Below are 12,522 nucleotides of genomic sequence, written 5' to 3'. Positions count from 1 at the left end.
GGAGCTTAGATGCCCCATCTATGTCTCCTCAACACCCTCAATCTCCTTCTCACACCACCTCATAATTTAATTCTCATTTAATAAGCTCTCCCTCTTACTCTAGACAGCAAGTTCTCCTAGGGGAGAGACCAGTACTGTGGTCTTTTTCACCTTTCATTTTTCAGTTTCATTTTGCCTGGCTCATGTTCGTTCAAAAATACTTGCTGAGTGCATAAACTTTTATCTAATGTGATTTGATTAACCTGGAATCCAGGGTAGCCTGTCTCCATTTGGTTGCACATCTTTCTGCTCTGCTTCTTCACAAGTTTCTTTTCACTCTTTTTCCTTCACTGATCCCAAGTCTACATTCACTCTATGAACAAGTCTTCACCCAAGACTGGAGCAGAAGTCTCCCTGGGGATGAATTTCAATTATGACAGTATCTTAATGAGGGCTTTCAGTTAATAGCTAAAATAGGGATGGGAGGTATGTGATTAGATCACTATATTTTCACATTTTTGGAAGAGAATTCACCTTGGAAGAAAGGTTCCTTTCACTACATTCTTGGCTGGTGGTCCAGAAGTCCATATATGCCTAGTTTGGGTACTTATCGGTTGTAGGGAGCCCAGGGCCTGACACCAGCCTAGCCTCTGGAAGGTAGTAACTAAACATTCTGGATTAAATTGAAGATTTTTAATTGCTACCTATAAGCAAAGATTTAAGCTAATAAATCCTGTGTCCTTTCTGAGAATACAGGGAGGAGACGGTAACCTCTGAACCCAGCACTTACTCTCACCATGGTCAATAGAATTTCAACTTGCTGCTCTCATCACAGTTGGCCTGAGAGTGAGAGTCTGAGAAGGCTATAGGAGATAGCCCAGGAAAAGCACAGATGTATTCTTTATGCTAACCCAGAAGTCGCTGCTCAAGACACAGGCACCGTTCTACACGTGGTGCACTTCTTTTTTTTTTAACCTATCAGGTACCCCACATGGTCAAGAACATTAGGGCGGGGTGCAGTGGCTCACACCTGTAATCCCAACATTTTGGGAGGCCAAGGCCAGTGGATCACTTGAGGTCAGGAGTTCGAGACCAGCCTGGCCAACATGATGAAACCCTGTCTCTACTAAAAATACAAAAATTAGCTGGGTGTGGTAGCTGTAATTCCAGCTACTTGGGAGGCTGGGGCACAAGAATTGCTTGAATCCAGGAGACGGAGGTTGCAGTGCAGTGAGCCGAGATCGTGCCACTGCACTCCAGCCTGGGTGACAGAGGGAGATTGTCTCAAAAAAAAAAAAAGGAACTATTTTCCTCTTTGGCATTGGAAAATGTGATTGAACTAGTATATTCATGTCTGGCTGGTTATGTCCAGGGACAAGAAATCTATGGGGCTTTCTCCACTCAGGTTTGAAATCATCCTCTTTGTAAGCACTTTTTTTTTTTTTTTTTTTAAGGAACTTTTCTTGTCTCCACCACGGCTTGAAAATTTGGAATCTCCCTTGGAGGATTTTTATCCTCTCTCCTGAGAGTTTCCTGCCACCTCTGTGCAAACAGGACTGTCCTTGACCATCCTCGACCTAAAGGAAATCATGTATACAGTGGTCCATTTCCAAGACAAAGTGCCTTAAATCGTCTTAGGTAAGCAAATTATAGAAGAAACAGGATACACTAGGCCCCTGCTTGGATAGCGATGCCTGCTTATCGGCTCGCCTCTCTTTCCCCGCCTCTTAGTCGCCCTCACCCGAACCAAAGTTCAGTCTAAGATGAAAGTTTACTAGCCTGCAACATTGCTCGTTTTGTCTGTTCTTATCAGCCTGCCCAGCTACTTAGGTCATAAGTCAAATACTTAAAGAGCCCCCGAGCTAACTAGGATTGCAATGCATTGTGGGCTGCAACAAAATGCAGCAAGACAACCCTAAAGAAACACCTAAAGCCTCTAACCAACAATCAATAGGCGACATCCGGGAAGGTTGTGACCCCATAGTACTCACCCTGTGAGGAACCCGGGGAGGGACCTGCGCACCACGGGATAAATCGGTTGTTCAAAGTGTGCTGGGTGTGCCCGCTCATCAGACAACCGATCTTGCAAGATCGTCGTTAAACTCTCACTTTTGCTGTTCTCCGGGTCTCTGAGTCCATTCTTTGGGTTTGGACGGTGAATTTGTTTCTCATAGACCTAGTCTAAGATTGAGGAACACTCCCAACCCAGCTTTCCAGAAAACACTGAATTTAAAGATTTTGCCTAATGACAGCCAGTTGCAAAAATTCCGTTGCAAAGAAATCCAGCAGGAATCCTGATAAAAAGAAGCCTGTATTTGCAGGGAGAGTTACTGGGTTGTGGTTTTCTTGTTTGTTTGGCGTTGGGAACTGTTGTCATCCACAAGAGGGAGCATGCGGTCCTCGAAGACCACTTCCAGAGTGTCGGTGTGTCCGTTTAAAAATCTGAAATCCCGGAAACCAACCCCAACCTGCAAACTGTTACATTCAATTTGCACTAAGCACGCTGTCCATGAACAGGCGTCGAATCTAGGTTAAACTACTTGGAGCAGAGCTGCATTCCTCTCTACCACAAGGAAATTGCTGAAGCGCTCGCTTCTAAATGTGTACTGAATATCGTGGCGCTCCTACTCAGCTAAAAGCCACCAGGAGGCGTTTATAAAGATGCTAGGGTAGGGCCGACTGAGAACATCCCCAGAGACCCATCGCAGCAATCAGCTGTGGTGTAGGGGGTGGATTTTCACAGTATGGGCTCCTGTGTATGTGCGAAAAAGGGGGTATGAGAAGCAGGGATGAGGAATCTTTTTTGTGTCCGTTTGGGAGTCTCCCCTGCGCATATTTCCCGTTGGTGAGCCGGCAGTAGGAAGCCCGTGGGGCCGCGCGCTATCCCGGGAAACTCCCGAGGGGCATTCCTTTTCCCCTTCCCTTCGCCCCCTCAGTTGAGCTCCCAGGAATGCTGGGATTTTCCTCCAGTCTTGTCTTGCAAGTTCACTTATTTCAGTTTTCCGTAAACACCAACGTCTCCTCTGCAACTTGGGAAAATCTTTCCACGCACGTCCTCAAACGCGCCATACACCACCCCTAATAAACGACGTTTTTTTGTGAAAGCAATAGGATCTGATCACAAAGCAGAATAAAAGATCTCAGGTCTCTCACAGGCTCCTCACCTGTAAAATAAAGACAATAGTTCGCATCTCACCAGGTTACTGTGAGCGTTCCATGAGGTAACAATACAGAACACTAGTCACAAAACCTGGCACACGATAAGGGCTCGGTTTTGTTCGACGACTTCACTTTTTTTCCAGTGAAGAAACAGAAGCCCGAGGGGGCACCAAGTTTCTGAACCCCCTGGAAGGAAAGGTCTGGGGTGCGAAGGGTGGGGTGTGCTGACATTGGAAAACCACATCAGACTTTAGAAAGGAAGAACTAGGTCATGAAAGAATTCAGGGAAAATCGCTAAGAACTTGGCCCCATGGTGTAATGGTCAGCACTCTGGACTCTGAATCCAGCGATCCGAGTTCAAATCTCGGTGGGACCCAGTCTGCTGTTTCAAGTTTCAGTCGTATGACTTCTCTGTGATATAAAGGCAATCATGCAATTTCTACACACCTTTCTCATTCCATCCTGGAGCTTTTATTCACAAACACACGAGTTAAATGGTGTGTGGGAAGATTTATCCCTTTTGTTAAATGATGTATTTTCTTTTTTTTTTTTTGTAAGGCATTATAAATGATATATTTTCAACACAATTTTATTTTTTATATATTTATAAGTACTTATCAAATATTATATACTTAATTTTTATTGATTACATAATACCACCATTAAATTTAAAAACAACTAAAGCCAGAGGAAAAACACTTAAAATACAGATAATTACTGGTAGGGGCTAAAAATTATATATCAATTTTAAATCTGTTTCAGAATGCTATGATGGAGTGATCAGTCAGTCATAGCCTTTAAGCATAAACGTGTAATATAGTGGGCTTAAAATTCTATGGAAGATATGGAATAGAAATATCTTTTAAAGATAGAAAAAGAATTTATGCACGTTTTCAACTGTTAAATATAATTATGCTAAGTATATTTTTAAAGAATCCTAGTACATGCCAGGTTGTTAGCTTTTAGGTTCCAATACACAAATTTCACTGAGTCATTAGACACTTCTAATTTGTATTTCATCATATGCTGGCAATTACATTCTTTAGAATGATTTAAATTTGTAAAGAAACATTTTAGAACACCACTGGAAAACAATGTGTGAAAGCACAAAAATATTTTTACAATTCTTAAAGATTCCAAGGGATTAAAATAGCTTAAAGACAGTGTTTTGATGAAAATAATATCGTAATAGGACAAAGCAACTCCCTTGTCATCTCATGCTCAGACTCTTTCGTTTCTATTTTTCAAGTACATTTTTTTCTGTAAATTTCCTATTTGTGTACATTTGATTTAAGATGGTTTGTATTTTTATTATGATTTTGAAGGCATTCATAGAAGCATATTTTTATTAATCCATTCTTGCTCAAATATGTCTTGTGTAACAGTTTCCAAGTCAATATTTTTTTCTTCTGAGTTATCTTATTAATTTCCTCTGCATGTGTTGTTGTTTTATGTTTTGTATTTAAATCAGTAATCTATCTGAAACTTAATTTCTTACACACTTGAGAGGTCTACCTTTGTTTTCCTTCATAGGTAAAGTTAGCTGTGCCATCACAATTTATTTTAAAATCACCTTTAGGCCGGGCGCGGTGACTCAAGCCTATAATCTCAGCTCTTTGGGAGGCCGAGGCGGGCGGATCACGAGGTCAGTACATGGAGACCATCCTGGCTAACACGGTGAAACACCGTCTTTACTAAAAATAAAAAAAAATTAGCCGGGTGCGGTGGCACGCACCTGTAATCCCAGCTACTCGGGAGGCTGAGGCAGGAGAATCGCTTGAACCCGGGAGCCGAAGGCTGCAGTGAGCCAAGATCTTGCCAATGCACTGCAGCCTGGGATCTTTTGATTAGTTTTTAAAATTCATTTTATATCCCGAAAGCATTCTTCCTCTACGGTATTCAACATTTTCAGGCACGTGGGAATAAAGAGATAAAGAGATAGAGGTTGAAGACTCAAATATTCCATTTTGTAGTTTCCAGCTTCTGGTAAAGAACTAAGAACCCATTAGGCTGTTGATGAGCTTACATGTGAACCAGTAGTCTGGAGTGCAGAAACCCCAGGAGTCGGATTCCAATGCTTTGGCCCAGTGGTTAGTTACCTTACTCATAATGAAGATGTTGGTGCCATTAAGCACAGCAGAGTTTCCTTGGGAACCCTGCAGGCTTTGAAGAGATCCAGAAAACAACAATAGGTCACAAACAGACCTTGGTGACGTTGGCATTCATTTGAGATATTTGGAATATGTCCCAAAGTTGGGCCAAGCTAAAAGATAAAAATTTTCTTAAAAGAAAAACAGATATTTGGAAATATGATAAAGCTCAAGTTTGTATAACAAAGGTTAATTTTGAAAAGAATGGTTAATTTGAAAACAAGGGTTAATCTCTCAATGGCATCTTTTGATTTTCATGATCCACACCTCAAGGGCAGTCTGGCCTTCCTATTTTTCTCTTTCCTTATCCCACTATTCCCTTTTCCTTCTCTATTTCTTCCATTAGCTCTGTTTTGTTTTCTTTATTTCCTTTTCTGCCCATGCACAAAGTAAACCAATGATAAAATATTGTCACTGTGCTCTTTTTAAGATATATTGAGGACTACATTTAAGGTTTGAAACTGTCAGAAGCACTAGAATCACAGCAAGCTTGTTTATAACTTGTAGCTAAATACCTAAAGATTAAATGGCAGTTTCAAATCCTAAAGTTACATGGATGTGTTTATACTATGCATGAATCTAAGAATTTGTGTGGGTAAATTTCATTCTAAGCAGTGATACATCTGAAAGGATGACAATAAGTACAATTAATCAATTAGTGACACCCATTGCTTTCACTACCGTGTTTTTTAAAAAAATTTTCAGCCAGAGCCAAAGCTGAACGCTACTAATTTTATAATTATGCACAGTTATCAGACAAGTTTGTTTGTTTGAGACAGAGTCTCGCTCTGTCACCAGGCTGGAGTGCAGTGGCTCGATCTCTGCTCACTGCAACCTCCGCCTCCCGGGTTCAAGCGATTCTCCTGCCACAGACTCCCGAGTAGCTGGGACTACAGATGCGTGCCCCCACGCCCAGCTAATTTTTGTATTTTTAGTAGAAATGGGGTTTCACCATATTGGCCAGGATAGTCTCGATCTCTTGACCTCGTGATCGGCCCGCCTCGGCCTCCCAAAGCGCTGGGACTACAGGCGTGAGCCACCGCACCCGGCCCAAGTTTTATAAATCTTGATGCCATTTGAAAACCTATATGATTGTGAGGCCAGGAGCAGTGGCTCATGCCCTAACACTTTGGGAGGTTGAGGCAGGTGGATCACCTCAGCTCAGGAATTCGAGACCAGCCTGGGCTACATGGCAAAACCCTGTCTCTGCCAAAATACAAAAATTAGCCAGGCGTGGTGGCAGGCACCTGTAATCCCATCTACTCAGGAGGCTGAGACAGGAGGATAGCTTGAGCCCGAGAGGCCGAGGTTGCAGTGAGCCAAGATCGCACCACTGCGCTCCAGCCTGGGCAACAGAGTGAGAATCTGTCAAAAAAAAAAAAAAAAAAAAAGGAAACCTATATGATTCTGATTGAGAAAACAATCTCACAGAAACAATTTGACAAGATAATTCCTCTAACTTTACAATGAATGGCAAGAAAATGCAGCAGAAAAAATTATCACCGACGGCCGGACGCGGTGGCTCACGCCTGTAATCCCAGCACTTTAGGAGGCTAAGGGGGGGCGGATCACGAGATCAGGAGATCGAGACCATCCTGGCTAACACGGTGAAACCCCCGTCTCTACTAAAAATACAAAAAATTAGCCTGGCGTGGTGGCGGAAGCCTGTAGTCCCAGCTACTCCGGAGGCTAAGGCAGGAGAATGGGGTGAACCCGGGAGGCGGAACTTGCAGTGAGCCGAGCTCGCGCCACTGCACCCCAGCCTGGGTGACAGAGCGAGACTCCGTCTCAAAAAAAAAAAAAAAAATTATCACCGAGCTCAATCAAAGTAACTTTACTTGGGACTGCTGTTTCAACAGGATTAGTAATTTGCTAATCAGTTTTCTAGTTCCTAAATTCCTTTTGCTTATAAGCATTCAAATGAAATTGACACCACCATAACTGGTTTTCAAAAGCATTTAGGTCTTTTGAGGTTGCATCATGGTTTACATTTAATTATAAGCTGATTTATTTCCTAAAGAGAGAGTTTTTTCTGATTTTCTATTACCTCTGCTTTCTCATTAAAAACTAAAAGTAAAACCTGGATGCTGGGGAATGTAGTTCATTTGTAAGAAGGCTCACTGCCTCGTGAACTCAGATGGTTAGCAGCAAAAACAAAACAAAACAAAACAAAAATGGTCCCTGCAGAATTCAGACTTTCTGCGTGAAGTTTGCCCCAAATAGAAACACACACTTGAGAAAGTCTTTGATTTTAGCCTCATCAGAACAGCACAGGTGAGAATGTGCTTCCGTCATTGAGTTTCTCCGCCAAACAAACCCAGAACGAGGGTGGCTAAGAATTGTTCATGACTTGCAAGCACGGAGGCAGGAGAGAGAGTGAATTTCTCCTCCTGAAATTCCAAACTGTAAAACCCTGGAGGTGGCAAGGGAATGATCCTAACAAATGGGAAGATTTCAGACTTTTATGGGGAGACCTCATTATATTTCTCGTCTAAAACTAACAAGACACGAAAAATCTTTTCCAACACCAAAGGTGAAAATCATCCCAGCTGGTGTGACCTGGGGAAGTAAAGGTCAGTTTCCCAAATGCAGCGCATGTGAGAACGCATGACCTGCAATGTGACAATGACAGCTTTTCAGAGAGATGTCTACTTGCACTACCAGGGCCTTGCACCCCCCAGCCCCTGGCCAGACTTTCCCTTGAGCAAAGCAGCGATGTGGACAGCAGAACGTAGTCTTTCTGAGAAGTGGAAAGGAGTCAGGATTACTGAGAGGACAAGCTCTCCTTTGTGAAGCCTTGGGAATGAAATGGCTGGTGAATGGAAAACAGGTTCCTTGTAAGTCTTTGCTTACTATGGGTGAGGCCTCAAAATGTTCCATTCATTTCCACAAACTTTTGATAACTCCTCCAGGTGCTGGTCACTGAAGCAGATGAGGCCTCTGCAAATAACGACTAAATGTATACAACTAAATATAGAATCGCACGTGTGGATCTCTTTCTCCAGAGGACACTGGCCAAAAATCATGTGAACGAGAACCTTTTTCCATCGTGAATTCAATCCTTACCATGCAAACAGGTTCCCATCTTTCAGTGACTCCACAAGCTCTTCTATTTTAATCATGGTTAAACACGTGCCCTTTAAAAGCAAGCAGGGTTGGGATTAGTGAAGAAGGAAGAATGGAGAGAAGAAATTTGGGAACAACCAGTGCAGACAGCCTTGGGACAAAATGTAAAACTGAGCCATCCTGGGTTCTGGTGAAGATCATAACTAGGTGAAAGTCTTACCCCCAGCAAAGTGTTGATGAACTCTTATCCTGATCTAGGCACTGTGTTAAGCAATGGGGACTCTAAAGGGAACAAGATCTCAAGACTGGTCCCTGCACTGGGATAGCTTGCTGGAGGGTAAGAGAGAGACATTAAAAAGAAACTAAAACGTGTGGTGTTATGATGAGGGCAGTTTGGGTGCTGAGAAATTATAGATGGAGGCAGCTAAGCTGAGATAATGGAAGCCAGAGAAGCCTCATTAAAGTCAAGTTGAGATCGGAGGAATGAGAACTGAACTAAAGCAAATAAAGTGAGGGCAGAGGAGAGGGCTAAAGAGTGTTGTGGGAGGTGGAGTTTGGGCAGAAAAAAAATTCACCATAGCTCATGCTTGGAAGTCAAGTGTGAGAACTGACGGTGGAGATGCAGCAGGTTAAGGGAGCATCATCAAAGTATAAAGTGTTCCCTGGCTTCCCCACTTATTTACTAGTCTGCACACAACATTCTATTTTAAGCAAGAGTCCTCCCTTTTCTCCATTTTACTTAAATGTCTATCATTGATATGGACTCATGGAATCTTTTCTCCCCAGTGATTTATAACTCATTATTGTCCTTAATTATATTGATGTTCAACTTTACCCATATTTAATTAGGGAGAGCCCCTTTTTGGGAACATAGCCTCTTGCCTTGCAGGAGTAAAGCCATCTTGAAGTAAAACAATCATAATGACTAATATTTGACTCCTGCATACCAAGGTATTCTGCAGCAAGGTCAAAAACAATGTATGTAGCATGAATAACCCCTCATAAAATTGCTTATCTAACTTCCCCAGTGGCCATGGGTTTTGCGAGACAGTCTGAGGTGTAATCAGCTGTTCATATTTTACCCTAAAAGCTTGCTATAGAAAGGATACTTTCTGCAGGGTGAGTGCAGGGATCCACCCTCTCGGGCTGCAGCCCAAGATGTGGTTTCTGTTTGTAAGTCTTTATTAAATGTTTCTTTCTGAGAAACTGGATTTGTCAAACTTTGTTTGGCCTCTCATCTCCCTGGGACTTTGGAGGTTGCTTTGCCTGTACCTGCTCATAGTGGAAAACCATTCGAGTGGCCTCTGGATCCTTGTAGCTTGCTACTATCATTTTTTTTTTTTATTTTAATGAGACGGAGTCTCACTCTGTCGCCAGGCTGGAGTGCAGTGGTGCCATCTTGGCTCACTACAATCTCCACCTCCCTGGTTCAAGGGATTCTCCTGCCTCAGCCTCCCGATTAGCTGGGATTACAGGCGCATGCCACCACTCCCAGCTAATTTTTCTTGTATTTTTAGTTGAGATGGGTTTTCACCACGTTGACCAGGATGGTCACGATCTCCTGACCTTGTGATCCGCCTGCCTCGGCCCCCCAAAGTGCCACAATCATTCTTTTGAACATGTTCTTATTTTCTGCATAACAAGTTGTTCCAGACTTAATTTGCATCTACCCTGCCCCAGCCCAAAATTCAGCCATTTCTCAGTACTTTCCTGATTTCTTTCAGTGGGGAAGAGTATTAGAGAGGAATATCCGGGGGCATAGTGTACTAACTGCTTCTATGATATTTGCTTCTTGGTCCTTTTAATGGAAACACCTAGGAAATACATGTGCATGTATACACATATAATCATATATACTTACACATGTGCATGTGCATATATACACATATGCGCATGTATTCATGCCCATACAAATACATATACATATTTTAGAAATCATGAGCTCGGCTTGGTGAGGTGGCTTACGCCTTTAATCTCAGCACTTTGGGAAGCCAAGGCAGATGGATCACCTGAGCTCAGGAGCTCGAAACCAGGCTGGGCAACACGGTGAAACCTCGCCTCTACTAAAATACAAAAAATTAGGTGAGCATGGTGGCATGTGCCTGTAATTCCAGCTACTCGGGAGGCTGAGGCAGGAGAATCGCTTGAACCTGGGAGGCGGGGGTTGCAGTGAGCCGAGATCACGCCACTGCACTCCAGCCTGGGGGACAGAGACCCTGTCTCCAAAAAAAAATAAAATGATAATAAAATAATAAAAAATAATAAAAAATAAAAAAAATCATGAGCTCACACCCATACCTCCCATTTCAATCCATTCATCTCTTCAGGATTCTTTCTTATATTCTCCCATTCTATATTTGTATGTGTCCCTTTTTCCACATTGAGACCCCTAATTCCAACAAGATTAGCATATTTACTCACCTGCTGTATCATATAATACACATACAATAGTTTTGGAATTGCTTTGCCCATCTACTAACAAAAACTATCCATTAAAAGAGGTTCAGTAGGTGATTGTAACAACTAACCAAATAAATAAATAGAGTTAAAGATTTGTTTGCATTTCTCCATACACACACCCCTGTCTCCTTACCATCCTCACTCTCTTGGCCAAAGAGTGAAGGTGTACTGTCAAATGCCCTGTCCACAAATTATGTTATTTTCCTTTCCATGTAGTCGTACTATGGAATAAAATTGAGTTCATTTGCTTTAACTTGCTTTCAACCTTAGTTTTCTCCACTACCCATCCTTACTTAACAGTTTTTGAAAATGTAGGTTGGCCGGGCACGGTGGCTCATGCCTGTAATTGCAGCACTTTGGGAGGCTGAGGTGGGTGGATCACCTGAGGTCAGGAGTTCAAGACCAGCCTGGCCAATATGGTGACACCTCATCTGTATTAAAAATACAAAAACTAGCCAGGTAAGGTGGCACGTGCCTGTAATCCCAGCTGCTCGGGAGGCTGAGGCAAGAGAATCATTTGAACCTGAGAGGCGGAGATTGCAGTGAGCCCATATCGCTCCACTGCACTCCAGTGTGGGTGACGCAGTCAGACTCTGTCTCAAAAAAAAGAAAAAAAAAAAGGTAAAGCATTCACACGCTTTCAAAAGTTAAAGGTCTAACAAAAGGTAAACTCAGAGAAGTGGCCTCCCATATCCCTTGCACTCCATTTCCCCCAAGTCTCTTACCACCAACACCATTTTAGGTAACTGTTAACGGTGGAGGGTGTGCAGGTTCTGGCGTCTTAAACGAAGAATTGGACAAAACTCACAAACAAAGCAATGAAGGAATTAAGGGTTTTATTGAAAATGAAAGTACACTCCACAGTGTGGGAGTGGACCTGAACCTAGGGGCTCAAAGGCCCCGTTACAGAATTTTCAGGAGTTTAACCCCTAGAGAATTCTTATTTGTTACTTCGGAAGCCCTATATAAACAGACAGGATGAGGTAAAGTTACAAAGTCATTTACAGCATATGCCCTATGGAGAGGATATTTCCTTTTATAGCTGAAGTATGAATTGGCCTTATGTTCCCTGCCTCCAGACCTTATTTTCCTGTCTCATTTCCTCCCTGAGAGATGTGATCCCCATAAATCTTTATGGGAGGCAGAGGGACTGATGGTCTTTTTTCTGTAACTGCTTCATGCTACCTTGGGGCGTAGTCCCTACCTATTGTGGATCATGGAACTCTCTCCCTGTTCTGTCTAGTGAAGGCAAGGTAGCTTCTTGATGGCCAGGGGTGGTGTCTTCACATGGAGGTGGCTGGAACCTTTGTTTCATGATCATCTGAAGCTTGATGATTTCTAAGCAAGAGGAAATGAATTTGGTTAAAAGATTTAATGGGAACTTCGGGGGTGGATACCTATGCTCTCAGAAATGTTTGTTATAGAGGTTTGCAGGAGAAAAAACAAAACCTGGTTTGTTCTAGAAATCTATGTGTTTCCTTAAAGTCTTAGCAGAAGTGACTCCCTTTTGGTTTGGTTTGGTTTGTTGGGGCCTAGTGCATAAGCCTAGTCCGAAACAATGGCCTTCCAGAATTTTGTTAAAAAAATTTCCCCTTTTTGGTCAGGTTCTCAGGTGAGAGTGTAACCAAAACTTAGGGCCTTAGTGCTGCTCTCAGTTACCATCATTTTGGGCTTCTGGTCTCAGCACATCATTCATAGGTTAAGGGGT

The 12,522-nt window shown here is 42.6% G+C and overlaps 1 non-coding gene across 1 annotated transcript, besides 3 other annotated features; it reads left to right on the top strand.

Annotated features, from left to right (window-relative positions):
• Positions 1,794-1,863: an enhancer, noted in NCBI's record as "active region_24306". NCBI's record gives its function as "activates an Ori minimal core promoter by ATAC-STARR-seq in GM12878 lymphoblastoid cells {active_cell/tissue: GM12878}" and the evidence as "EXISTENCE:reporter gene assay evidence [ECO:0000049][PMID:35858748]".
• Positions 2,094-2,173: a silencer, noted in NCBI's record as "silent region_17041". NCBI's record gives its function as "represses an Ori minimal core promoter by ATAC-STARR-seq in GM12878 lymphoblastoid cells {active_cell/tissue: GM12878}" and the evidence as "EXISTENCE:reporter gene assay evidence [ECO:0000049][PMID:35858748]".
• Positions 3,396-3,565: a silencer, noted in NCBI's record as "silent region_17040". NCBI's record gives its function as "represses an Ori minimal core promoter by ATAC-STARR-seq in GM12878 lymphoblastoid cells {active_cell/tissue: GM12878}" and the evidence as "EXISTENCE:reporter gene assay evidence [ECO:0000049][PMID:35858748]".
• TRQ-CTG6-1 (tRNA-Gln (anticodon CTG) 6-1) lies at positions 3,443-3,514 on the top strand. The gene has a single exon. It is a non-coding gene; the product is annotated as a tRNA-Gln (tRNA).

The sequence above is a fragment of the Homo sapiens genome, chromosome 6 (genome assembly GCF_000001405.40).
Source record: "Homo sapiens chromosome 6, GRCh38.p14 Primary Assembly".
NCBI lineage: Eukaryota > Metazoa > Chordata > Mammalia > Primates > Hominidae > Homo > Homo sapiens.
This window is presented reverse-complemented; position numbering and strand designations above follow the sequence as displayed.